General features: G+C 51.8%; 2 protein-coding genes and 1 long non-coding RNA gene across 8 annotated transcripts, besides 8 other annotated features; 1 reads left to right on the top strand and 2 right to left on the bottom strand.

Moving 5' to 3' along the window:
* IL4 (interleukin 4) lies at positions 133–8,822 on the bottom strand. Of its 3 annotated transcripts, NM_001354990.2 has the most exons (5): positions 8,626–8,822; positions 8,305–8,352; positions 4,930–5,030; positions 2,921–3,097; positions 133–325 (listed from the first exon to the last, which is right to left on the bottom strand). In NM_001354990.2, exons 1-4 carry the CDS (start codon positions 8,758–8,760, stop codon positions 2,971–2,973), a joined length of 411 nt encoding a protein of 136 aa, NP_001341919.1. In that variant the 5' UTR covers positions 8,761–8,822; the 3' UTR covers positions 133–325; positions 2,921–2,970. The 3 variants fall into 3 exon arrangements, with proteins under 3 accessions (NP_001341919.1, NP_000580.1, NP_758858.1); NM_000589.4 differs by lacking the exon at positions 4,930–5,030; NM_172348.3 differs by lacking the exons at positions 4,930–5,030; positions 8,305–8,352.
* On the top strand, positions 182–3,726 carry LOC105379176 (uncharacterized). Its single transcript, NR_134248.1, has 2 exons — positions 182–357; positions 2,695–3,726. It is a non-coding gene; the product is annotated as an uncharacterized LOC105379176 (long non-coding RNA).
* Positions 17,325–17,852: an enhancer, noted in NCBI's record as "H3K4me1 hESC enhancer chr5:132000651-132001178 (GRCh37/hg19 assembly coordinates)". NCBI's record gives its function as "activates a minimal SCP1, AML or CMV promoter by ChIP-STARR-seq in primed H9 embryonic stem cells {active_cell/tissue: H9 hESC(primed)}" and the evidence as "EXISTENCE:reporter gene assay evidence [ECO:0000049][PMID:30033119]".
* Positions 18,649–18,958: an enhancer, noted in NCBI's record as "active region_23093". NCBI's record gives its function as "activates an Ori minimal core promoter by ATAC-STARR-seq in GM12878 lymphoblastoid cells {active_cell/tissue: GM12878}" and the evidence as "EXISTENCE:reporter gene assay evidence [ECO:0000049][PMID:35858748]".
* Positions 19,029–19,208: an enhancer, noted in NCBI's record as "active region_23092". NCBI's record gives its function as "activates an Ori minimal core promoter by ATAC-STARR-seq in GM12878 lymphoblastoid cells {active_cell/tissue: GM12878}" and the evidence as "EXISTENCE:reporter gene assay evidence [ECO:0000049][PMID:35858748]".
* Positions 19,369–19,418: an enhancer, noted in NCBI's record as "active region_23091". NCBI's record gives its function as "activates an Ori minimal core promoter by ATAC-STARR-seq in GM12878 lymphoblastoid cells {active_cell/tissue: GM12878}" and the evidence as "EXISTENCE:reporter gene assay evidence [ECO:0000049][PMID:35858748]".
* Positions 19,839–19,918: an enhancer, noted in NCBI's record as "active region_23090". NCBI's record gives its function as "activates an Ori minimal core promoter by ATAC-STARR-seq in GM12878 lymphoblastoid cells {active_cell/tissue: GM12878}" and the evidence as "EXISTENCE:reporter gene assay evidence [ECO:0000049][PMID:35858748]".
* IL13 (interleukin 13) lies at positions 21,701–26,289 on the bottom strand. Of its 4 annotated transcripts, NM_001354992.2 has the most exons (6): positions 26,181–26,289; positions 25,567–25,745; positions 24,451–24,521; positions 23,340–23,393; positions 22,983–23,087; positions 21,701–22,636 (listed from the first exon to the last, which is right to left on the bottom strand). In NM_001354992.2, exons 4-6 carry the CDS (start codon positions 23,370–23,372, stop codon positions 22,529–22,531), a joined length of 246 nt encoding a protein of 81 aa, NP_001341921.1. In that variant the 5' UTR covers positions 23,373–23,393; positions 24,451–24,521; positions 25,567–25,745; positions 26,181–26,289; the 3' UTR covers positions 21,701–22,528. The 4 variants fall into 4 exon arrangements, with proteins under 4 accessions (NP_001341921.1, NP_001341922.1, NP_001341920.1 ...); NM_001354993.2 differs by lacking the exon at positions 24,451–24,521; NM_001354991.2 differs by lacking the exon at positions 25,567–25,745.
* Positions 25,854–25,913: a silencer, noted in NCBI's record as "silent region_16331". NCBI's record gives its function as "represses an Ori minimal core promoter by ATAC-STARR-seq in GM12878 lymphoblastoid cells {active_cell/tissue: GM12878}" and the evidence as "EXISTENCE:reporter gene assay evidence [ECO:0000049][PMID:35858748]".
* Positions 25,994–26,083: a silencer, noted in NCBI's record as "silent region_16330". NCBI's record gives its function as "represses an Ori minimal core promoter by ATAC-STARR-seq in GM12878 lymphoblastoid cells {active_cell/tissue: GM12878}" and the evidence as "EXISTENCE:reporter gene assay evidence [ECO:0000049][PMID:35858748]".
* Positions 26,144–26,433: a silencer, noted in NCBI's record as "silent region_16329". NCBI's record gives its function as "represses an Ori minimal core promoter by ATAC-STARR-seq in GM12878 lymphoblastoid cells {active_cell/tissue: GM12878}" and the evidence as "EXISTENCE:reporter gene assay evidence [ECO:0000049][PMID:35858748]".

The raw sequence follows: 26,468 nt of genomic DNA, 5'->3' as shown, positions 1-26,468 counted from the left end.
GAAGTGGTCTTTCCTGTTTTGCTCCCATAGCATTTATAGTCTCTTGGTAAACTAAATTGATTTCCCTAAAAGTTGCAAACCATAATTTCATTTGTCAAGTAAACATAGCCAATACATTAAATGCCATTGCTGTTAGATTCTATATATACTTTATTTTATGATGAGTTATAAATATATAAATACTTAAAAAATAAAGCTATCAAAAACTCATAAATTAAAATATTCAGCTCGAACACTTTGAATATTTCTCTCTCATGATCGTCTTTAGCCTTTCCAAGAAGTTTTCCAACGTACTCTGGTTGGCTTCCTTCACAGGACAGGAATTCTGCAAAAGAAACATTTCATTAGCTTGCATTGGTAAGCATTTGTCTTGCCTGCCTGTCTACTTGATCAAGCCTACTGTGGCACTTGTCACCTGAACACTTATAAAACCAAGGCCTCCAGTCTAGCCTGACTGGGAGTTGTCTCTATCACTAGGCCAGCAGGTTTTGCCTATTTTGGGTGCATACTACTTACACTTCTAGAAATGGTTACTGTATACCATTACCTATCTGCTTTTGGGGTGGGTGGCGCGGGGGGGAGTGCAGTCTCTGGAGAGGTGTGTCACAGCTAGGTGCTTGCTCAGAGGGTGGAACTTGAAGATGCTGGCTCAGACCTGCCCGGTGCTCTACTGGGCCTTCTGCATGACTGCCTGGACTGCTGAGAGAGATTCAGTCATGTGGCCCTCCTGTGCCATTAAACAGCAGCACCGCAGCACAGCAGCCCTAAAGGTGGGAAGGATTCCAGATGCTACCCCCAGGCCACTGCTTCAGTTTGAATCTCAGCTCTACCATTTATTAATTGTATTGCTTAGGATGTACTACTTAATTTATAAAAGCTTCAGTTTCTTTTGTAAAGTTGGGACAATTGTTTGCCTACTTGCCTGCTTCATAAGATAATGGAGAGAATTAAAAGAGAGAACATGTGTTGTGCCAAGTTCCTATCCCATGACCTATCCCATTGTCTACAAGGTGATAGGCCCAGAGAGGGGATACATGTCCTTGTTCTCCTCTAAAGCCAATTAATTCCTCCACTCGATATTAGATAACATCCACTCTGGGCTACAAGGACTTCTGCCCCCTAATGATTCTTCCTCTTTCTGCTCTCTTCAGTTCTTCCTGCTCCACTGGACCATTCCCCCAGGTGCATTAACATGCTGGGTATACCCCCAACCTTAAAAGAGCTTCCCTCACTCCATAACCACCCTGCAGCTGTGGGTCAGTTTCTCTGCAGCCTTATAGCTAAACATCTTCAAAGAGTGTTCTGCCCTCACTGTTCCTTCTTTGTCTCCTCTCGCCACCCTATCCTCGGTGAGCCCACTCCAGCTGGGCTTTCCTTCCTGCCTCTCCATTTACATCAGCCTCACCCATGGCCTCCATCAGCCAAACCCAGGGGCCTTTCTTGGTCCTCACCTGACCTGTCCTTTCAGTACATTTGACACAGTCAACCCTCCCTCCTTGAGTGTCCTCAACGGCTTCCTGGGGTACCGCCCACTCTCCAGTGTTCTCCTGCCTCACTGGTCACTCCTCCTCAGGCCCCTTGGCTGGATCCTCCTCTCCTGACCTCCATGTGTTGATCTCAGGCTCAGTCCTTTGATCTCTCCCTTTCTGTCATTCAGATTTTCAGCAGTATCTATCTAAGGACTCTCCTTTTTGTATTGCAAGTTCTGACCTCTCCCCTAAGTTCCAGACTTTTCTAACCATCTTCTCAACACCTTCACTTGGCTATCCAAGAGCCACCTTACATGTACGATGTACAAAATTGAACTCTTGATCTTCTGCTGAACCTCCAGCCCTGCCTTGCCGCCAGTCTTTCATCTCTCTGTAAACAGTACTGACCATCGCCAGAGGGGTTTGGGCAGGAACAAAGAGGTCATCTTTTCCTCCCCTGTATCTTACCCCCTACAACCGATCTGTCAGCAAATCCTTCTGGTTTTATTTTTAGTCATATCCCAAATCTGTTCACCTCAACTGCTCCCATTCTGTCCACGCCACCATCATCTCTAGCCTGGTTTACTGTGGTAGCCTCCCAACAGGCCATCTTGCTTCATTCTGTCCACGCCACCATCGTCTCTAGCCTGGTTTACTGTGGTAGCCTCCCAACAGGCCATCTTGCTTCATTCTGTCCACGCCACCATCATCTCTAGCCTGGTTTACTGTGGTAGCCTCCCAACAGGCCATCTTGCTTCTATGCTTTCCCCCTTTCAGCCTATTTACCACACAGTAGCCAGACTGACCCTTTTAAATCACGTAAATCAGATTGTACAGTCTTTGTCCTGCCCAAAGCTCTGCAGGTGTTCCCTGCCATACTCGTGGTGGAATCTAAAGGCCTTGTGTGATCTGCTGTCCTGGAAACTACCCCTCACTCACTCTGATCCAGCCACACTGGCCTTCCTACTGGTCTTTAAATACAGGAAGTTAGTTCATTTCCATCCTAAGGCCTTTGCATACCTCCTCCTTCTGCCTGGAATGGTCTCCCTAGTTAGTCATGTGGCCTGCTCCCTCAATTCAAATATCTGCTCAGATAATGTCACCAGCTCCTAAGTCAGCCCCCTCCCCCATGACTCTTATGTTCTTTATTTCTATGTTTTTCTTTGTAGCACGTATCACTGCTGGCCATCATTTTACATGTTTGTTTTTCTAACTCTCCCATTAGAACATTCCATGAGAACAGGGACTCGGCCTGCGTGTCTTTAGTGACACGTCCTCAGCACCTAGAACCACACCCAGCACTTGTGGAACTTCAGCAAATACTTATTGAATGAGTGAATGAATGAATGGGTTGACCAAGGGTGCTGCAGCTCCTAAGGAGTGTTTAGAAGTGAGGCTGCTGTCCACCAGGAGCCACGCGGCCGGCTTGCCAGGAATACAGTGCAGCTTACCAAGCCCGCCAGGCCCCAGAGGTTCCTGTCGAGCCGTTTCAGGAATCGGATCAGCTGCTTGTGCCTGTGGAACTGCTGTGCAGTCGCACCCAGGCAGCGAGTGTCCTTCTCATGGTGGCTGTAGAACTGCCGGAGCACAGTCGCAGCCCTGCAGAAGGTTTCCTTCTCAGTTGTGTTCTGGAAAGACAAATGCCACAGATAGCAATGTGCCAGCTCCATTTGGAGGATGGGAGAGAGATTTTTCCTCTTGATTTCTTCTTTCCAGGAGGACAAATGGAGGTGAGTTTGCTCAACTACAGACCTGTCTTCAAGTATTCCACTGAAGGAAGGCTGCTTGCCACAGACATAAACCTCTGTCAACAACCTCTCCCAATTGCAAACGCAGCAGCCTTCTCCCCAGAACCTCCCAGTTTCCTTTCTCTTGGAGGATTTTGCCGAAAGGGTACCTGAATAAAGTCATCCCATGAGGAAAAGGCACAGTGGGGACTAGAATGCAGGACCATCTGTCGCTACAGCCCACGTTCTGCGTCCGTGTCTCTATACCTCATGAGCTATTCTGCTATGAAAAGTGCCCACATGAGCTCTCAGTCAGGTTCTGCTCTTGTTCCCAGAGGTTTTAAAATCCAGCTTTCCCTGGAAATCCTGCATGCCTGTTGAATAAATGAGTGCACATCCTTTGGCCTGAACTCTGCTGCTTTGGCCAGCACTCTCCGTGTGGCTCTCCCCATGGGAGAGGAGAGCAGCACATGGCCCAAGTGAGGAGCTAAGACATTTTGCCAGGCAGCAAGAGATAAGTGCACAGATCAGGGAAAGGTGTCCTGGGAGATCAGAGGAGGCTCTGGGAGCAGGTGCCATTGATCTGAGCCTTGGGCAGAGCTTCTGTAAGGGGCCTTTTGGCCCCAAATGATGCGGAGTGAGAATCTCCTTGGAATGCCAGCAACTGTGAGGGTCTGGCCACATGGCTCTTCCTGGGGGCCCTTAGCCTTAGAGAAGGGAATGGACAAGAGACAAGTCATTGGGAACCCAGGAGAGGGATTGTGTCTCAGTCTGAACCTGGCCTGGTGTGTCCTCTCATTTTTCACTGAAGAACAAAGATGCAGAACCTGGAGAGGGTTCTTAGCTTGAGCCCAGTTCCTTTATCCAGTTCAGATAAAGAAAGCTATCCCCAGCCTCTCCCCCGACATGCTCTGGTCCCTTGATACTCAAAGTGTGGTCCATGGACCAGCAGCATGGACATCACTGGGAGCTTCTTAGAAATACAGAATCTCAGACCACCCCTGCCCCACCCAGACCCTCTGAATCAGAAGAACAGTGACAAGATGCTCAGGGGTTTCTATCAGCAGCGCTGTCCAAGCAGCTTTCAAGTTCTTACATATTTTTTTTTCTGATGATCAAGATAACATATATTTACTATAAAGGTAACATATATTCAACAAAAATACATTCACTCATCCCACCAGCCAGAGGTAACTATTGCTGTTAATATTTTGGTAAATATCGTCACACTTTTAAAAATACTTTTTAAAATAGGGGTCAACTGTTGATACTGTTTTGTAACTTCTTTACTCTTTACATATACCATAAGCATTTCCTAAGCCCTTCGGTGGTATTAGAGAACATGGGATTGAGAGCTGCGTAGAAACGCATTGCACAGTGGTACTGTCATTTGTCAGGCCCCTATCGTGGCAGATTTTTGCTTCTGTAAATAAGCGGCAGTGAGTAAACTATAGAAATCTTTGTGTTCATCTCTTATTTATGTAGGCTAAATTCTAGGAATGCAGTTCATATTTTAACGTTTTTTCAGGAAAGTCTAGACCCAGACTGAGGCACCAGAATCCCAGGCTACAGAAGCTTCCCCTTTCCCCTGTGGGGCGTGATGTCCCATGGGCAGAGCGGTTAGAAAGACATTTACTTAATGAACTGACTGAGAGTCACTCCTCGTTCCTGATTCTAGTTGGAAATGTAAGAGTGTGTCAGTATCTTTGGGCTCTGGGGGCCAAGAAACAGACCTCTCTGGGCTTTGTAGGCGAGTCGAGGTGGAAGGGACACGGGCTGATGGGGGGCGGCAGATGGTGCCTGTGTGTCTGGAGGTGGGCAGACATGCATGCTGCTGCAGAGGGAACAGTGAGATTCAAGAAAACCAAAAAGTCAGCCCTTTGCTTCTTTTACCACAAACCTTGGTGAGATTTTTCTGAAACGCTGGCTTGGAGCCTGGAAATTAAACTTAATTTTGACCCGTATATGGCCACATAGTATAGGAAAAAACCCTCTAAAGATATTTTTGAAAGGACTTTCTAAAGGAAACAAGGATAAAATAAGAATTGAAAAGAGTCTGCATTAAATGGAAAAACTTTAAAAGAATGCATCCTAAGGGCAGCTTTAGTGCAAGGCCTTAACGTTTTAGTTGCTCTGGTATCGCAGCGAGGGGGCGACACTCCATCCCTGCCGTGGCCCTGGACTCCTACCACCTGCCTGTCTAGCTCTGGCTGCTGAGTGTGTCTGCCAGTGGCTCAGGGAGTGCACTTGGACAGCCTGGCTGACCTCACAGTTCAGAACTGCTTAGGGAGTGACTCAGAAGGAGGCCTGTCCCTCCCGGGAATGTCAGGAAACAGCCACTTGGGAGATTTCTTCTGTGGCAGTGACTCTGTGAGAGTTCTAACTCGGTTCTTGACCAGCCTCACTGAGGACCATATAAATCCAGCCCGATTGGCACTGCATTCATTATCTCCCATCCTGCCCAGGATAGTCAGCTAGTGCTGTATATGAGAAACTCCTTCAAAAAACAGAGGTATTTGAGGTTCATTATGGAACTCTCTGTAGAATTATGAACTTTAGCTCTCTTTGGTAAATAGGAAATAGCTCCAACTACTTGTCCACCCAAGAAACCCTTCATCAGCCAGCCAGCTTGCTTCTTCCCACTTTGCTGTTCCTCAGACAGCCTTGACTTCATAGACACCCTGACAGGTGTTACCTGTGAAGCCCAGGACCTAGACCAGTGCCTTCTTTCCAGCAACTGCCAAGAGTAGAATGCTACCCAACTTAGAGATACTAAAATTCTTGTTCCCCCGAAGAAATAAAATCAATAGGCTGGATTTTGGAAAGATGTTTTCTTTGGGAACACAAAGAAGTACCTTTTCCTCTGCATACCACCTTTGTAGGTTTTTGAAAATAGCAACATTTCACTGTTCTGAAATATCTTAACATGTAAGTAAGCAGTGCTGAATCTTCGAGGGGAAGAAAAGAGTGAAGAGTGAGATCGTGAACTCCAGGAGGATGAAGTTCAGGGGAGGCAAATGAGACGGGTAAGAGTGAAGGCAGGCAGTGGGGATTATTCTAGGAGATGTTTGTGTGTGTGAGAGGGAGGTGAGTGAGGACTGAGTGAAGAGGGGAGTTAAGGACGGGAGGGCAGCAGTGTCCTGGCCTGCACCCGGGGGTCTTCCAGAAACAGCCCAGATGGATTGCCCCAGACTCGGCATCCTGGATGGTTTGATCCTTTCCAACCCGGTCCCCTCCTTCTTAGAATCATCGCTTCTCTGCACCTGTTCTTGCTTTTAATCGTGGTTATATCATCTCACAATAACACTTTGCACTAACTCAAGAGCTGGATTCCAATCAACCTTGCAATCACCTTCAGAATCACTTTCATATCTTCACATGTGGAAACTGAGGTGCAGAGAGGTGTGAAGATGTGCTGAAGGCCAGCCACACAGCTAGTCAGTGGCAGAGCTGGGTCTAAAACCACAGGCAGTCTTACCTCCAGGCCCTCAGCCCTCACCCTTCCTCCAGGCCTGGCTTCTAGTGAGGTGGCCCTTCCCTTGGCTTTGTTAGAGCCTTCTCAGCAGTGCCACAGGCCTCCAGAGACCCAGTGCTCAACCCGGTGGACTCTTGGCTTCTAGTAGGAGCCATCTCGGTTGGATGGACTTGGAGATTTTATACACACACACACACACACACACACACATATACATACACATATATACATACACACATATATATACACACACACATATATACACACACACACACACACACACACACACATAAACTGTTGCCCAGGTGCAGTGGCTAATCCCAGCACTTTGAGAGGCCGAGGTGGACGGATTGCTTGAGCCCAGAAGTTCGAGACAAGCCTGGGCAAAATGGCAAGACTCCATCTCTACAAAAAAATACAAAAATTAGCCAGGCGTGGTGGTGCACACCTGTCGTCCCGGCTACTTGGGAGGCTGAGGTAGGAAGATAGCTTGAGCCTGGGAGGTGGAGGCTGCTATGAGCTGAAATCGCACCACTGCACTCCAGCCTGGGTGACAGAACAAGACCCTATCTCAAAAAAAAAAAAAAGTGTGTATTTGCCCTTCAGAATCTCATCCTGTATCGGACTCCCGGGATAACTAATGAAATGAGATAGTCCAGCTAAAGGCCCGAAGAGCAGTTTCCCTCATGAAGCAGGATGGGCCCTGTTCTATGGTCTGGGTGCTGGAGTGTGACCCTGCCCAACACACAGGGCTTCACTCCTGGCCATATCATCTCCCTAGTTTGCATGGAAAGCAGGTAGTTAGGAGACCACTGTGAAATTGAGGCTTTGGGGCTTTCATTCTCAGCCGTGTGTTTCCATGAAAACAGGAACTGAAATGCACAAAACTATTGATACGGCTGTAGTCATGTGTTTGTCAGAGAAAATGCACTATCAGCTGTCAAATCTATCTCCTCCCACTACAGATAGAGGGGTGGGGGTGAGGCAGCACAGGAGGCAGAGAGGCGAGGTGCCCAGGCAGCCCGAAGCAGGGATGTGCTGGACGCTGCCCAGCAGGATGGTTCCAGACCGAGCTGGAGGGGAGTTCGGCCGGCCAGAGCAAGCTGAGGAGCTCTGGACGGCCAGCCCCGGAACCCAGAGGGCTGTTAGGTGGCCAGGCTGTGGAAGAGGAGGGGCTCTGGCGATACCTTTTCTGTTGCCATAGGAAGTCTCTTAGACAAAATGAAAGCTCCCTCAACCTGTCATCTCAATATCTGTTTCTGTGAGAGTATTTGGTTTTTCAGAAATGTATGGGCCAGAAAAATTCTCTCATTCAACAGGCATTTATTGAGTGCCTCCTACGTTCCAGGCACTATGCCAAAGCTAAGTAAAACCCAAGAGGGCTTTTCTTTGACCAGGATCTGAGTCAGGACTACAGCATGTAAGCTTTCTATTACATGTCTTCTAAATCAAGTGAAACCAGAAAGACCAAAACATGCTTAAGAGTAAAGATCAGACTTCTCGTTCTTTGAAAACATCTAACACCTTAGAGTTAATTTGGGCCCGCTCGTTTTCCATTAGACAAGTTTCTTGTTCAGACATTTGGGGATGGATCTCCCCATTTGCTAAAACAGACCGTGGGACGGCTTCTTACCTTGGAGGCAGCAAAGATGTCTGTTACGGTCAACTCGGTGCACAGAGTCTTGGTCCAGGCAGAAATGAGAGAGCAAGAGACAGAGTTAACCTCCAACCGGACAGAGAAGTCCTTGATGAGCAGCTCTCACTCCCTCCAACTGAGGAAACTTCCTACAAACCCTCAGAAAAAAGAGTGGCAGGGGAGAAGCCTCGCTGTGTGCCCTGGACTGCCACCAACCACCAGTTCCAACTTCTCTAGCAGCTGTTAACGTTTTCATGCCTAGAAATACTGAGAGCATCACCAGAACATCTGGAGAGATGGTGCCAGATAGGTACTCACCTTCTGCTCTGTGAGGCTGTTCAAAGTTTTGATGATCTCCTGTAAGGTGATATCGCACTTGTGTCCGTGGACAAAGTTGCCGGCACATGCTAGCAGGAAGAACAGAGGGGGAAGCAGTTGGGAGGTGAGACCCATTAATAGGTGTCGATTTGCAGTGACAATGTGAGGCAATTAGTTTATCAGGAGAAGCTAACGATGCAATGCTGACAAAGATATCTCTATATATAGATTTAAAATTGCTGAAACCGAGGGAAAATGAGTTTACATTGGAAATTTTCGTTACACCAGATTGTCAGTCACTTGGGGCCAATCAGCACCTCTCTTCCAGGAGAAAAAATGCCTCACAAACAGGTAAAATGTTCCTGTGAAATCAGACCAATAGGAAAATGAAACCTTTTTAAAAAATTAACTACAAAGTTTCAGCATAGGAAATTACACCATAATTTGCTCTTTAGATTAATCTTATCAGCTTGGGGCTGCTGCTGGCTTTTTGCTTTGCATAGAAGGGAGAGGCCACAGGTGTCCGAATTTGTTGTAATGCAGTCCTCCTGGGGAAAGATAGAGTAATATCAAGAAAGTTTTACTTGAAAAGTATTTTAACCTGGCTTCTTCCAAGTACAGGTGGCATCTTGGAAACTGTCCTGTCATGGAAAAGCTGATCTGGGGCTCCTTCTCTGCATAGAGGCAGAATAACAGGCAGACTCTCCTACCCCAGCACTGGGGGACAATGTTCTCCCAAGTTTAGGTGTTTTGAGAAGGACAGGTCGTATCAGGTGAGGCCTAGTTTGGGTCCCAGCAGGTCCATAAGGTCCTTACCCATAAGGAAGCCCTTGGCAAGGTAGGTCTATTCTGAGGTTTCAGGAATGACTTTTTTTTTTTTTTTTCTGAGACAGGGTCTCACTCTGTCACCCAGGCTGAAATGCAATGTTGTGATCAGGGATCACTGCAGCCTCAACCTCCCAGGCTCAAGTGATCCTCCCACCTCAGCCCCCCTAGCAGTAGGTGCGTGCCACCGCACCATGCCTGGCTCATTTTTATTTTTATTTTTTGATAGAGATAAGAGTCTCACTATGTTGCCTAGGCTCATCTCAAATTCCTGGGCTCAAGTGATCCTCCTACCTCAGTCTCCCAAAGCTCTGAGATTACAGGTGTGAGCCACCATGCCTGGCCAGGAATGCCCACTTTTTGAATGGAACCTAAACACATCCTCAGCTAATTAGGAAAAAGAGCTACAGTCTTACCAACTTACAAATCAGCCCTCCTAGTCAGTGCCCCACCACCCGCCCTGCTTGTTTTTTATTGAATTCATGTGGACACAATAAGGTGCTCATTGCCTCACCCCAGCAGTGAACGTAAGGACCCCACCACTCACTCAGGTGCCTGGGCCCTGTGCAAGGCCACCCCACCTCCCAGTAAGGGCTCATGGGCAGCAGGATTCTTGGGCCCTGCCTGCCCCCTGCTTTTCTCCCAGAACCTTCCCTTCCCTTGGTCTCTGACCTTCTTTTCCCTATGAATTTCTTTTTTTTTTTTTTTTTTTTGAGATGGAATCTTGCTCTGTCACCCAGGCTGGAGTGCAGTGGCGTGATCTTAGTTCACTGCAAGCTCCGCCTCCTGGGTTCATGCCGTTCTCCTGCCTCAGCCTCCCCGAGTAGCTGGGACTACAGGCACCTGCCACCACGCCCGGCTAATTTTTTGTATTTTTAGTAGAGACGGGGTTTCACCGTGTTAGCCAGGATGGTCTCCATCTCCTGACCTCGTGATCCGCCTGCCTCGGCCTCCCAAAGTGCTGGGATTACAGGCGTGAGCCACTGTGCCTGGGCCTCCCTATGAATTTATTCTGGAAGATCATCTAAAAATGTGTGTTGCTAAGGTTTTGCCTCTGTTCCACTTCCCCGCCCCCCCCTCACCACCCCCTGCCCCCATACTCTGTCACCCAGGCTGGAGTGCAGTGGTGATCATAGCTTACTGTAGCCTTGATCTCCTGGGCTCAAGGCATTCTCCAGCCTCAGCTTCCCGAGTAGCTGGGATTACAGGCACATGCCACCACGCCTGGCTAATTTCTGTATTTTTTTTTTTTTTTTAGTAGAGATGGGGTTTCACCATGTTGGCTAGGCTGGTGTCGAACTCCTGGCCTCAAAATGATCCACCCACCTCAGCCTCCCAAAGTGCTGGGATTATAGGCGTGAACCACCATGCCCGGCCAAGGTTTTGCCTCTGTTTTGGATCTTTTCTTCCCTTATTATTATTATTATTAAATTGACAAATAAGTATTGCACATATTTGTGCTGTATGATATAATGTTTTGAAATGTGCATGTTATGGAATTGCTACATCAAGCTACTTATACAATACTTCACATATTTATTTTTGGTAAGAACATTTAAAATCTACTCTGTGATTTATTTATTTATTTTGAGATAGAGTCTTGCTCTGTTGCCCAGACTGGAGTGCAATGGCGCAGTCTCAGCTCACTGCAACCTCTGCCTCCTGAGCTCAAGCAATTCTCCTGCCTCAGCCTCCCGAGTAGCTGGGATTACAGGTGCCTGCCACCACGCCCAGCTAATTTTTGTATTTTTAATAGAGACAGGGTTTTACCATGTTGGCCAGGCTGGTCTCGAACTCCTGACCTCAGGTGATCTACCCACCTCAGCCCCTGCAAAGTGCTGGGATTACAGGTGTGAGCCACTGCGCCTGGCCTGTCTTCATGATTTTTAAGTATACAAGACATTGATATCAACTGTTGTCACCATGTCGTACAATGGCTCTCTTTAACTTAACTCCTCCCAGTTGAAATTTTATATCCTTTGACCAACATCTTCCTGATCACCACCCTCCCAGCCCCTGGTGACCATCATCCTACTCTCTGCCTCCCTGAGTTTGGCTTTTTTATATTTCACATATGCGTGAGATCATGTGGTATTTGTCTGTCTGTGCCTGGATTTTTTCACTTAGCATAATGTCCTCCAGGTTCATCCATGTTGTGGTGAATGACAGCGTTTCCTTCTTTTTTAAGGCTGTATAGTATTCCACTGTCTATATATAGTTTTGGATCTTATCGCAGTGCCTCAAGTTCTGTGAAGGAGAGAATCTGGATAATTGTATCAGGAGGTCCTTAGACCATATTTAGGATCCTTCCATTGGGACTGGGCAGCAAGGTTACCAAACTAAATGCAGTGGCTTCAGATGCCAAACCACCTGAGATGAGCCACACCTCACAGGTGAGGGGTATGGTCCCCCACAACACTGCCCTTGCTTCAGACGCCAGCTGCACATTCAGGGGTTCCCAGCCCACCCTCACTGCTGACTGGCTGCAAATCTGGGAGTTTCCACTACCCCTCAGGTTCCAGAATGCACTAGGATGACTGACAGAACTCAGGAGAGTGCTATACGTAAGGCCACAGTTTTATCATAACAAAAGCATTCAAATCAGAACCAGCCAAAAGAGGAGACACAGGGGCGAGATGGAGGAGGGGCCCAAACACAAAGCTCTCATTGTCTTCCCCGTGTGGCGTCAGAGGCATCACCTTCTCAGCACTTTGACGTGTGACAAAATGCTGACTATTTCTAAGCAGGGAGGCTCACTTGAGCTTTGGGGTCCAGAGTTTTTATTTGAGTCTTATCATATAGGTGTGGTTGATGGACTCATTGGCCACTGGGTTGAACTCATCTTCCTGGTCTCCTTCCGGGAGGCCAGGCTGATATCACAGAACCTCAGTGGCGTGGCCAGCCCCTCCATGGTCGTATTGTCAGCAAAAACTACCTAGGGCCCACCATGAGTCACTTCACTCGCATAAACTCTCAGAGACCACCATGAATAATAAGATACTCCTATCACTTGGGAAATCCCTAGGAATTTGGGGCTACCTCCTGGGAACTGGTGACAAGGACTAGCCACGTTGTTTACTCCAAGGGTTTGTAGCTGGTAGGACCTCCCAAGAGCCAGGACAAAGGCCAGACTTCTTGGATAAAGGTTGATTCTTCACTGCACAAACTGGAGGAGAGTTATGAGAAGAGCAGGTGGTTGCTTCCAAAGCAGGTGGGGACTTTGGATCCGATGAACTATTATGTGGAATGAAGTACAGCAGCGGTTCCAGTTAACACAGGAGGGAGCTCATCAAGCTGCGGACTTGCTGGGTGGAGAGCTTCTGCCAAATAGGTTCTCAAGGAGAGTCGGGGATGCAGAAGGGGAGCTGGTGGGGAGGGCGGGGTTCTGGGGCGTCTGTGGGGGCAGTGGAACAGCCATTTATGTGTCCATCTGGTGTTTTTCTAAGCACCCACTAAAGGGCAGACCCTGGGCTTGAGGCTCTGAGGGCAGAGCTGGTGAGTGAAAAGGGAATATTAGGTGGGCACCTTCAGCTCAGAAGCAGAATCCAGCTTGTTTTGTTTGTTTCAATGGTGAAATGAGGCCAAAGATGAAAGGATAAACTGTCCAGAACATTCGAGAGTGACCAGGAGTCTCCCCAGAGGGCAGAAGTGGGGGATGGGCCATCCTCGCCTGCAGGGACAGCACCATGGCAGCTGCAGGTGCGGCAGGTGGGTAGAGATGGGGAAGGTGGGTGCCTGCATTGTCAGGGACAAAGAGGAGGGCAGTGATCACCACCACTACCACCACTGCGAAGGAGTCTCCGAGCCTGCAGGGCCATGGGCAGTGCCTTGGCGGGGTGTGGTGGGCCTGACACCAAAGTTCAGGAGGGAGGTTGAATACTGCTGTCTCTGGCTGTGTCGGTCACAGGCCCCTTCCCCTCCCCTGTGTGAGAGCTGAGAACCAGCGCCGGCCCCTCCATGGATGCAGAGTTTTTCCTTCAGGCCCTGGAACGTAGCAGTTATGAGCACTGCGTTTGGGAGTCCAGCAAATGAGCCCTTATCAACTCTGTGACCATGAGTAGATCATTAACTCTCTCTGGGTCTCGATTTTCTCACCTGTGAAATGGGAATAATGTGGCTCTTCCTTGTGAGGAGCAAGTGAGTGGTTCCATGGAAAGTACTTGGCATGTGTCATCCAGAAAGGGGGTCTGTTAACAGAGGCTGCTATAGTACACGGTGGCTAAGAGAGCGGACGCTGGGCCCAGGTGGTCTGTCAGGCCTGGCTGCTGTGCCTCCTGGCTGTGTGACCTTGGGCACGCTACTCAGCCTCATCTGTGAAATAGGGGTCATAGCTGTCCCTGTCTCATGAAGTTGCTCTGAGGAATGAATACATTTAAAGTTTTCAAGTATTTAGAATAGTGCCTGGCACACAGTGAGTGTGATGATGATAATGATGACTCCTATCTTGAGTTGCTGAAATGACTGATGCTTCATCTATTAGGCAAGCCCAAGTCTGGACAGGGCAGTGGAGATCTGGCCAGACGGGCCCTCCCCACAGGTTCCTCCTGGATGTGCCTCCTCCGTCTTTGAGTTGCCGTCCTTGTTTCTGGTGGGTCACGGTCTCCACACTGCAGCCCGCCTACTTTAGTATCTGGATTCATTACAGGGAACAGACACAGCTGTGGGTGCTTTAGTCAGGAAAGGATTTCATGCAGGAAAGTAGGTGCTTCTAAGAATGTCAGGAGGGCTGGAGGGGCAGGCTCCAGGCTGGGCCCAGAACCCTAAAGACCTGACCCACTCAGCGAGCCACCCCTGAGGCTGCAGTGCCGGGATTCCAAAGCTGCTGCCTCTGCTGACCCCCTACACTGTGAGTCTGCTCCAGGAGACTCCCGGTCTGACTTCCACACCATGAGTCTGCTCAAGGACACCCCTAGTCTGAATGACCAGGTACATGGTATCTGCCGCCCTCCCCTCCACAGCTTGTCAGCCTTCATCTAATTGGAAAAGCCAGATGCTCGCTTCAAAGGAGTCAGAAACGCGGCAGTCAACTAGGAGAAAGGAATACAGGTCGCACAATGCAGCCCAGTCTCCACGGGCCTCGTTCATTGATGCTTGCTGTCCCAGCCATTCCTGTGGTCCGAGTCGGGTGAATCTCACCTCCCTCCTCTTCTGTCAGTCCTGCAGGCCAGCACCCAGGAGAGTGCTTTCCAACCCCCACAGGCTTAGTCATGGAAAAAGGTGAGACTTCTCTGAGGGAGGGGCACTTAAGCAGAGTTAGGGATGAGCCGGCTTTAGCCAGGAGCAGGGGCTGCAGGGTGGGGTGAGTGCAGGCAAGGGACAGCAGGTGGAAGGCCCCGAGGTCACTGAAGAGAGGGCTCCCAGGAGGGGAGCACGGGCCGAGGGGACCCAGCCAGAGCATTGCAGGCGCCCGTGACAGAGGCAGCTGGCGCGAATCGGGTGGGATGGTGGCAGGGAGAGCTGTGGGCTCTTGAGTCATTTGGCCCAGCACAGTGTCTAGGTTAAGACCTGGTGTCTTGGTGCCCACGGGACCTGACTGGTTCTGAATCCCAGCTCTGGGTGACCTTGGAAAAGTTCCCCCATCCAGGCTTCTCTGTAAAACTGGGCTGATTACAGGGGCGAGGGAATACTATAGAAGGTGACAAATATGAAGTGTTTGGTGTGGTGACCGGCATATTGCAAGCCCCCGGAAAATGCCAGCAATCACCATCACCACCACCATCATCATTAATAGCACTTGGAAGTGACTGAATGTGGGGGTGAGGGAGAGCAGGAAGTCGCAGGTGGCCCCAGGTCTCTGGCTTGGGGAGGAGGCAGGGGAGAGGGCAGGCGGCGGGTGGGAGCCACCAGCTGAGGGGCTGCTACGGGCCATACTCTGAGAACAGGGGAGGGTCCAGCCTGCAGGCAGTAGACATGGAGGGTGACTAAGCCAAGGGGAAGAACACAGTGTTGCTGGAAAAAGGGGTCCCGATTCAGACCCCGAGAGAGTTCTTGGATCTCGCACAGGAAGGAATTCAAGGTGAGTCGTGGTGTGTGGTAAAGAAAGGATGTAGAAAACTACTCAGAGTAGGGTGTCCTCAGAAAGCATGAGCAGGAACGCCTTGTCTGCTTAAAGCTTTTCTTATATAGGGGTCTTGTCTATACAAAAGCCAAGCTACATTATGTCTATGTGCAGGTGGGCTGACAGTGTCACAAAATTTAGTACTTTGTTGATTTAAATAATGTTTTATCCTTGGCCTTTTAGTGAGTAAGTACATCAAAGCATTACTGTAAATAGCTTGAAAGCATATATTGTTATGAGACATCAGGACACCCAGACATTCTGCTGTTGTAGGAGTTTGTCCTTGCGGGCGTGACTAAACTGCTTCCTTGGCGTAAACATCTCATGACCATGGGTAGTGACTGGCAAGGAATATGCCTAGCTAGTTTTAAGATGGAGTTGATTTTAAAATGGTGTCACCCTGGCTCTCCTCCACTCCTGTTGACCTAACAATATGGCCAAGGGGTGAGAGAAGACAGGGGACAAGAAATGAGCCAGGGCACTCCTGCGACACTGGAAGGTGGTGAGGCAGGGTGCAGAGTCCAGGCATGAGAGAGGCCCAGGGAGGAGGAGCAGTGGTCAGCGGCAGCAATGTTCCTCGTAGGTGAGGCTAGATAAGGGCAGACATGCGTTGCTGCACGGAGTGGAGTTGATAATCAGTGACCTCATGAGATATCTGAGTGCAGTTGGGGGCACAGGAAGTGGCCAGATGAGGTGGAACTCAGTATGGGCATCTGGGAGGGCAGCTGTGTTGGGCTGCAGGCTGCGTCGTAGGTTGTCAGCTGTGTTCTGAATGGGACACAATCAAGCACAGGCTGCCCCAGCTCAGCGAGCGGCAGCTTCATCCTTGCAGTTGTTCACACACAACACGGGAAGACCTCACACGCTCATATCCAAGCCACCCCAAAGCCTCTCCTTTCACTGATGTGACATCTCGGATTGGTGGTGGTGGGGAAGGGGCGGGGGTAGAGATGGAACAAAATTGACAAAACTGGCCATGAGTTGCTCATTGTTGACGCTGGGCAATGGATGCTTGGGAGTGACTTTCGTGTATATTTGAAATTTTCTGTAATAGAAGATTTTAAAATTGTAATTGCATAGCAAATGTAAATATTAACATATATGCACATTTATATATTATATATTTATATCTATACTTTATGGATTATATAATATACTATTTAAGTAAATAATGTATACGATAGCAGTATAATGTATACATGCATCTTACACACACGCCCCTCTCCAGTCCTCCACTACCACAAGCACCATCGCTCCCCACCAGCATCTCTGCAGGCACCTTGGCGCTCATCTCCCTGCTCCGCCTTCGCCCTGCGTTGCGTTCTCCACACAGCAGCCACGGTGACTTTGTTAAAATGTGAGTCAGACCACATCACTCCATTCCACTTAGAATGAAGCCCGGTCCTGGCCTCTGAGGCCCTGCTGGGCTCCTGCTGCCCTTGCCGTGGCCTCTGCTCCAGCCCGAGGGCCACCCGTGAGTGCTGGGAAGGGCATCCCCAGCTCGCTCTTGCTCAAGACCTTAGCACCTGCAGTTCCCTTTCCCTTGATGACTTTGCCCCGATCTGTGCATGGGTGTCCCCTCCCCTTGTTTCGTCCCGATCTCTGTTCCCATCTTATCTCATGGGGAGGATTTCTCCAACCTCCTCGCATAACACAGCACTCTCCCTGCTGTGCAGCCCCGGACTGTTCTATTTCCCACGGTAGCGGCTACCACCGCCCGACACACTGAGTGTTCTCTCGTTGGCTTATTCTGTCTCCCTGCTAGAAGCAACCTTGTTTTGTTTAGTGGACCCCCAGCACCTAGAGCAGGGTCTGGCACCCAGGCAAGGCCTCAATCCATACTTGTTGAATGAATGAGTGGAGCTCCATTTCCACGGAGCCACTGAGACGTGGCTGAAGTAACAACACTAGAAGTCAGGGACACAGCTGGGGCTTGAAGCTGGGACTAGTTTCACCCTGAGCCCCCGGCTATATGCTCTGCCTGTGTTCCTGAGAGGGGAGGGGATGGGGCCCAGAGCACAGACACATGGAGGGCCCCATCCAAGGGCACAGGGACCGAGGGGAGGAGAGAAACGAGGCTGGCAGGCAGTGGCATAGACTCCGCTTTGCGGAGCTGTGGGGAAGTAGCTCTGCAGGCTGTTGGCTTCTCTTGCCTTTCAGAAGCAGGTGGAAGGTCCTTCTCCCAAGAGAGGCAGAGCTGCTGAGGAGTCTGCAGGAATGCTCCATCTGTCCCCATAGTGTTAATGTCACTTCAGCCTCAGAGCTAGATGGGCGGCCTACCCTTTCCCTTCCCACTCCCGCTGGCTCCTGTGCCCTGGCAGGCCAGGGCCTAGTGAAGACCCCCAAGAAGGCAGCACCTTCCTCTGTCTTTGGCAATGTGGGATCTGATGGGTCCAAGAGTGCCCAACCCATGGGAGGAGCGGTGCTAGTCCTGTCTGGCTGAGGGGCTGCCTTGCAGGCCCCTGCAGACCCCCACCTCCTCTCCCGAGAGGGCCGGCTCCCCAGGGAGGACTTAGGCTGGTCTGAGGGGTGCTGGTGCTGGTCCAGCCGGGGGATGCTGCAACCAGGTCTCCTCACTGGCCTGTCTCGGTCCACATCCTCCATGGAGCAGACATCACGTTCATGTTCTTTTTGCTTTTTAAAAATGAAATTTATCCTTGTCTCCCATTGGAAAATGAATGCATGCTCATTATAGAAAATGTGGGAAACAGATCAGAAGAAAGAAGAGTAAATAAAAATTGCCTTTTCCAATGTGGCATCACCACAGCTCCTCTGGCACAGGGCCCTGGGCTGGGCAGGGAGTTGTGGACTGTGTGGCCAACAGGCCATCGGGCTGTGGGTCTACAGGGGATGCCATCGGTGGCTTGGGCCTTCCTCCCTTGAGGGTTTGGGGAAATGGTGTCCAGCCCCCGCACAGTTGTCCACAGTGATGCAGAGAGTGGAGCTGACGAGAGTTGCTATATTTAATTTTGGTGCCTGCGTCACCTCTGACCACACAGCAGCGTCTGCCCAGGCAGGCAGCACATGGCTGGGGGTGTTTCTGAACGACGCTGTGAGAGAATCACTTTCCCCAAGAAAAGGTATAGCAGAGGGGAAGGGAGAGACAGCAACAGAAAGTGAGGTCGTAAGTAGAAAATTGCTTCTGGGATTTCAAATGGCTTTGTCATGGGGCCCTCCCTTGCTGCCGAGAAATCAGTTGATCTGGGAAAGTTTGTTGCAAACCCTTGCCCTCTTGCTTTTGGGTGGAGCTGAGAAATGAATGAAGATAATGGGGCTTTATGAGTGTGGGGGAGGGTAGCTGAGGAGACAGCCACCAGTCCTGACCCCAGCTTGGACCCCTAGAAAGGCCAGATAGGAGCTGGCCAGTGTGTCCCTGGCCAGGCTGTCCTGTCTGGAACATAGTCAGCCTGGCCCCAGCCGGACCTTCTTAGAAGGGAGGCAGGCGAAGTGGGAAACAGGTTTGGAGTGTGTTACAATGCACCAGCTAGATGAAGGGCATAGGCAGAAGACATTTCTCTTTGACCCTAATGAAAAAGCGATAAGCCGCTGGGCCAGGTGAAGGCCAGGCTTCAAGCTGCTGCCTCGGTCACAAGGAAATAAGATGCGGGCCTGGTCCCCTTGGGGCCTGCTCCTTCTCGTCCTGCGCAGGACAGGGGGCCAGCCTCGGAGAAACCTGCCAAGTGACTGGGAGCATTTTCTGACACCTCATCTGAGCAGCAAACTGAGGTGTTTGGTGCCGAGTTCACCGGAAACTCGCGTGTGTCTCACTTCTCACTCAAGCCCAGCCTCTCTTCCAGTGAAACCTCCTGGGCTGGGGTTCCCGAGGTGCCAAGGGGCTCCCCGCCCTGGGCCCCATGGCCAGCATCTTCCTCCCACTCACCAAGCACTCTTCTCCCTTCTCAACCCCCTTCTCTCTGAGTCCTGCTGAGGGCTTGCCTTGTTTATGAAAGAACTTAGGCCACGTGGTTAGAGAAAACTCCCAGCAAACACCACCAGGGCTCAGTCCCCAGGGAGGGAGGTTCCCAGCCACAGTTGCAGTGCTGACACTTACCTACCTTGTTCTGTCTTCCTTTCTCATTCCTGACAGGGCCCCTTCCCTGTCGCCACCAGCTGCAGCTTGGTTCTGTGGCTCAGTAAGGTGTCACTCATCCCTGGAGAGCCCCACGCCCTCTCCAGCCCAGGGCACACTGCCAGTGACCACAGGTCCCCCTTCCTGGGGAGCAGCCTGGAAGGTGTGAGGGACAGGAGCTCGGCGGTGGCTGAGGAAGTGGCGAGCTGCAGACCCCTAGTGGGGCCCGGGACGGCCATCCGCACTGTGCACCTGCCTCGCAGGCTGTCCTGAATGTGTGGCTCAGAGCACGGCCTTGGAGGATCCCGAGGAACCTTGCCCCACATCAGCCTCAATTCCAGTCTTTGTTCTTGAGGGAGTCACGTGGAATTTCACTGGAAGGGTTTCCATCTTTCTGGATAGGCAGGGCAATACTTTGGCTGGGCAGAGAGGACATGGGTCAAAGATGATGCTACTGGGAGATAGATTTCTAGGTCTTGTTTACAAAGTCATTACCCTCCGTAAATATCCTTCCAGCCTTAAACCCTAGGCTCTGGATGGAGAAGAATGCCGAGACCCTGACTCCCACCCACCTCCCCTGGCTTCCAAGACTCTCTCGTCCTTTGCGGAAGCAGCCACTGCTCACCTCCAGAGGGGAGGCCCTCCCGAGGGAGGACATACAGCTCCCCCAACCCGACCCTCTGTTGTTTCTACAGAGTTCTTTCAGGGGCTAAATCTTGAGTGCATGTGGTGTCTTGGTTGTCACTAGCCCAGGTGTCTGCTGTGGGGTGGTCCCCCGCAGGTATTTCCTCAGCAAACGTGGCAGGACTTAATAGGCTTGGCACCAGAGAGCCGGTCCTGTCTCCTGCCCGGGACAGCCTGCTGGAGACCCAGCTCTTGCACCATCACCCTCTTCACCCCCACAGTCTTCTCTCCTCTAGGCCAAGTGTCCCCTGCCCCCTGCACTGTCAGGTTTGCCTTCTTCCGTCGCCTCTCCCTGGGGAAAGTGAGTGGTTCTGGAGTAGCTGGCCACCATCATCAGCCCCCTGGCGAACTCCCTGCCACGTCCTCTGCTGTTGCGTGAATGACACAGCCATGAGCAGTCGAGGGCGGCTGCCTTCAGGGACTTCTGAGCATCACTGTGGTGTTCCCATAGGGCTCTGGGCTCCCCAGGGAGGGCACCTGCCTGTCACTACAAGTTTGAGACTGGTTCTTGAAGACCATCACCCACTGCAAAGGCATCCCATCCTGGAGTCACCCTCTGCCCTGGGCACCTCCCAGAGAGTCACAGTGAAAAGTGTTGCTGACGGGCATGGCCTGGAGCTGTGGCTTGGTAAGGCCCGCTGGTCTCTGCACTCCAGCTGCTGACCAGGGCCATGGGGAAGGAACAAGAGCTGCTGAGGAGTGGCCTAGCCAGAGCCCTGTTCACAGAGGTGGTGCGTGTGTGCACCCTAATGGCGAGAGCTGTCCAGAAATGCAATGGGCTGCCCCTCAAATATAGGTAGGGACCTGCCTGTCAGTGAGAGGGCCCGAACAGGTTGATGACAGTTGTACAGGGGGAAAAACTCCATTCAGGACAGGTGACATTTGGACAGAAATAGGCAGGGTGGTTAAGTGTGTGGGCTTTGGAGTTAAAGTGAATTTTGGACCCCAATCCCAACTTTGCTCCTTTACCTCAGATGAGGCTCTGAGGCCCCAGGACCCCAGTGAGGAAGTAGCTACGTGACCTTAGGCAAACCGCCCACGCTTTCTGAGCCTCACAGTTCTCATCGGCCTCCTGGGTTGTGAGGGAGACATGGATGTGTGGGTGGTGCCAGACACAGCTGGCCAGTCCTCAGGAGATGTGATTGTGAGACTTCCTGGGTCTCCGTCTGCTCCTGATGCCCTCCTTGAACCCTGACAGTCTGGCCCAAGCCTCTCCGTCCTTGCTGGTGCAGCAGACAGAAGGTGGGGCTTCCTTCAGGCCATGTCCCCACCCTCGGGAGCTAGCTTGCATTCAGCCCAGGTCACTGCACCCTACCCTCGCTGTAATCCATCCCAGTCCCCTCCTCCAACCCACCAGCCTCCCGAAGAGCTCCTCAGAGTCTTCAGACCACAGACCAGTGTCCCCAAAGGCCAAAATGAAAGACAAATACAATCAGGCCTATCTGTCACCAACTTTATTTCTGGCTTCAGTTTGATAGTCAATGAAACAACTTGTTCAATGTCCCCTCCCCCAGTGTTCAAGGTACCCTTCTATATATTAACTCTTTGCTAACATATTTAATATTTAAATACAAGGAAAAACAATAAATTACTCGTTGGCTGAGAGCTGGCTGCTGGCTGGCAGACAGGAGCGGCTGTTCTGCCCCTCTCCTGACCCTGCCTCGGATGAGGCTCCGAGGCCCCAGGACCCCAGTGAGGTAGCAGAATTCTGTACACAGTACTTATTACCAGGGACTCCTGGTGTCCACTGCTTTAGTGCTGGGGCCCTGAGTCTCTGAACCCTTGGCTCCAAGTGCTAGCAGCCACAGTCTTCCCCAATCCCCAACGGTGACAAACACACTCATTTAAATAACACACAATAATAAATAAGACCAAGAAGAAGTGTGCCTGAGCTGCTGTCTGCCTCAGTTGCCTGTGTGTGAAGTGGGTCCCTGTCCCACCACATGTCTGGCAAGGGGGGCACCCACTGTAATGCTACAGTGTGCTCTAGGGCAGGGGAGGGGTGTAGGGACATGTCATCCCTGGGTCCACCGAGCTCAGGGCCCTGGACAGAGGAGGCCCACCAGGCTGAGCCCTGGGCAAGGGGAAGGCTGAGGTCGGCTAGGCTGAAGACGGGCAGCACAGGCTGAGGTCTAAGCTAAGGAATTTTACCCCTCCCTAACCCTCCTTCCCGCCTACCCAAGACATTTTTGACATCAGAAAGAAAAATGAATCTGCAACTTCAATAGTCAGGTCCTGTCTCTGCAAATAATGATGCTTTCGAAGTTTCAGTTGAACTGTCCCTCGCGAAAAAGTTTCTTTAAATGTAAGAGCAGGTCCTTTACAAACTGGGCCACCTCGATTTTGGTGTCTCGGACATGCAAGCTGGAAAACTGCTGCAGGACAAAGAGGTCAGCACATGAGTAGAACGCCAGAGGCCGGGACGACTCGCACAAACCAGGGGCTTTCCAGGGACTGTCTCATTCAGTCCTCACGGAAGTCCCCATGAGGTGGGTACTGTTAGTACCTCTACTGTACAGATGTGGAAATTGAGGCCCAGGTAGGAGTTAGGAGCCCTTGAGCCCAGATCCTGTAAATCCCGAAGGCCACGTCCCTGCTGCCACAATGGCCCCACCCCTGGGTGGACACACACCATGGATATTCAGCCAGCTTCCCTTCAGCGAGCCCAGGGTTGGCAGGAGGGGGTGCAGGGTGGGTGTGAGAGGGTGGGGGATGCCTTACCCCAGCTGAGACCTTGTGCGGGCAGAATCCGCTCAGCATCCTCTGGGTCTTCTCGATGGCACTGCAGCCTGACACGTTGATCAGGGATTCCAGGGCTGCACAGTACTGTGGGGAGGGGACACCGAGGGGTCAGGCCCTGCTTGGGCAGCTGCCTTTTGTGAGTCTGCAGGAAGATGGGGCTGAGATGCCTGGCGCAGGTGAGTCTGGGTGGTGGGCGGGAAGGGGCCAGATTATGGCGGGAGGGAGGAGAGCACTTGAAGCTTGCTTGGAACCCCAGCCATGGAAGGGAGGCTCAGAGAAGATAAGCCCAAGGCCTGGAGCCTCTGCCCCATCCTCCCTGCACCCAAAGGTCCTTACCATGCCAGCTGTCAGGTTGATGCTCCATACCATGCTGCCATTGCAGAGCGGAGCCTGTGGGAGCAAAGTGACAGTGAGCAGAGTGCTGGCAGGGGTTGTGGGCCTGCCCTGGCAGCCCAGGCCAGGTCTGCCCCAGCACAGGCCCCACAAGCATCCCTGGTGTGGCACAGAGGCAGGCCTGGCAGCCCCTCAGCATTCCTGAGCTTCGTTTTCTGCTTTGAACAGCAGGCATAGGGGTGAGGTCCCACTGTTTAGGGTCTTGGAGCTGAGAGAAAAAAATTGACACCACTAGTAAGGGACAAGCTGCATGCAAGGCTTGCCATAGTCAGGGCAGGAGGACAGGGGCCTGCGGGAAGGGCCAGGGTGGGGACGAGTGAAGTAGGAGTGGCCTGGGCCACTGTTGACCAAGACAAATCAGATGGGAGGCGGTGGGGATCTGGTGTATTAAATGCCCTGCCTTCTGATGGTGAGGGAACACTGCAGTTAGGAGCATGGACACTCTGGTGTTGGCCAGGCCTGGCTTGAATCCAGCCTCTGTCACTTAACCTCACTGAACCTTAGCAGAATGGGTTCATCGTACCTGCCTCTTGAGGTGGCTGGCAGTGATGAAATGACACATAAAGCACGTGCACCAGGCCTGGTGTAAGCAGTGCTCAGACATGTGAGCTGTTACTAGTGGGGCAAGGAGCGGACTCTACTAAGGAATCCTCCTGTAAGGGCGGGCCTATGATGGTGCTGGGGAGAATGGCTGCATTGTTATGGTCAAAATCCAGTTGGCAAATGCCACATGGTTCTGGGAGGGTGCTGGCCCTTCTCTGCTGTCCTCTGTTCAGGAATGGCTGAGTAGGAGCTGGCAGTGGCAGACAAGGCCAGGCCAGGAGAGCAGGTAGTCCCTGGGGAGTCTGCCAGACACCTCCATAGGTCCATCCACAGTGCTGAGCCCCCCAGCCCAGCTCCTCTCTCCCTCATGGCTGGGCCGGGCCTTGGTCCATGGAGATTTTTCCTGACCTACAGGCATCTTAGGACCAGGCCCAGCCTGCTCATGACCTCATCTTGGGAATCACCCACCCTGGAGCCCTCATAGCTAGGACCCTGGCTAGCCGACACTCACCTTCTGGTTCTGGGTGATGTTGACCAGCTCCTCAATGAGCTCCCTGAGGGCTGTAGAGGGAGGCACAGGGCCTGGGGAGGCAAAGCCGCCAAGGCAAGTGAGAGCAATGACCGTGGTCAACAAAAGCGCCATGAGGCCCAGTGCCAACAGGAGAGGATTGAGGAGCGGATGCATAGGCTGGGTGGCTTGTGGCCTTGGCGTCTTGTGGCAGCTTTTATAGGCCCAAGTGGTGACGCCTGACACCATGGTCTCTGCTTTTTCAGGCACTATCTAGAAACCACATCTTTACTCATCTTGATTTTACTTTGTGGAAAATCCAGTGTCGCATAAAGGAAAGAGTTTGATTTCTCATGGACTTATTGAGAAGGGTCCAGGGCAGAGTTTCCAAGATCTGGGTGGGTTTAATTCCAGCGGCAGGCAAGGGGCCCTGAGAGCGGCGTGGCATTTGCAATGCTGCCCTGAGTTCCAGCAGTTTTGCCTGTGACAACCCTGAGTACCTGGACAGCTGACCCAACTCTGAGCTCCTGTCCTCAGACCCTTTTGGGTCACCAGAAGTGCTGAGCAGATAGTCTTAGTGCACTGTGGCTGTGACCACAGTCTACCAGCTATGGGAATTTGGGGAGTTTTATTTTTTCGATGAACCAGTCTCTTAAATTACTTAAGTAACACTTGCTTGGATACAAAATTCAAACAGGCAATAGAAGAGTAAAGTTCACTTCTTTTGGCTTGCCTAATTCCTCCTTGGCCCCACTGTGAGAGGGATTGTCAAAGTTCAGATTTCCAGGTCTCCACTGAGAGATCCAGAAAGATTCAGAGGTCTTTCTGGGAGCTTTTTTGGTGTTTTTTTGTTTTGTTTTGTTTTGTTTTTTTGGAGATGGGGTCTCACTATGTTGCCTGCCTAGGCTGGCCTCCAACTCCCAGACTCAAGCGATCCCCCCACCTCAGCTTCCAGAGTGGCTGGAAGTAGTGTGCACGTGTCTGGCCCCTTTAATTTAAAGTGTATGGGCCATCCTTCTGGGAAACTCTTAACTGGGCCAGGCTGGCAGCCTTAGTCCAGGTCAGAGATTGTAAGTGTTCCTAGTGCCACTGGGGCTTGGGGTGATCCCCTTTGCTCACCAGTCTCTGCAGGATCAACCCCTGCCGTCTGGGGGCCTCAAATTTCCCTTCTGCAGAATGAGTGCTGTGGAGGGCGGCTCCTGGGCTTGGCCCCTGCAGCCATGTCGCCTTTTCCTGCTCTTCCCTCGTTTTCCTAGAAGTCCTCCAGAAACCCCCACAGCAGAGGCCACGGCATTTGCCTGTTGGGTGTTGATGTCAAGATTTCTCCCCTACCCACTTCCTCCCCGAACCAGCGCCTCCCCAGGCCCCCTCTCTGCCTGCTCAGGCTCCCTCCGTCCTGTCCTCGATGGGGCTCAACCTCCTCACAAGGGTGTGCTTGTGACCCTCCTCACAAGGCATGCTGGATTCCCGCTCAGAGGCATCCCAGGCTTGCCCACCCTCTCTTCCCACAGGGAACGTCATTCCCACCCTCTCTGTCCACACTCGAAGCTTCCCAGCCCAGCTGCTGGCTCTGACTCCCAGAAGTCTGCCCCTTCCCCTCGAGGGCCCCCAGTGCCTGGAGTGCCGCTACTTGGCCGTGTGACCCCTCTACGGGCCTGTTTCCTAATCTGTAGTAGAGGGCCCACGGCATCTCCCACAGGGTCTCCGTGATGGGGGAAGGAGCGGGGAACTACCTTGGTCTGTGCAACTCCCGGAGCCCCGCCCGGGTGAGTCAACGCCCCTTATCCCCCATGGCCACCAAAAGCCCTGCCGGGAGCGGTGGGCAGGGGCGCCCCCGCGCGTGGGAGAAGGCGCTGGCGCGGCGGTTGCGGCGGCGATGGCCCGCGGAGATAGGGGGGTGGCCTTATGTAACGGGAGATGGGCCCGATAAGCGGGATCTGCGCGGCCGGGCCCTCCTCCGCGGCCTCCGGCGGTGGCCGGTCCGGGAGGCAGGGGTGGGCGCGCAGACCGGCCAGTCTGGA

Source organism: Homo sapiens, chromosome 5 (assembly GCF_000001405.40).
Source record: "Homo sapiens chromosome 5, GRCh38.p14 Primary Assembly".
NCBI lineage: Eukaryota > Metazoa > Chordata > Mammalia > Primates > Hominidae > Homo > Homo sapiens.
Note: the sequence above shows the minus strand (reverse complement) of the source record. Positions and strands in the feature narration are given on the sequence as shown.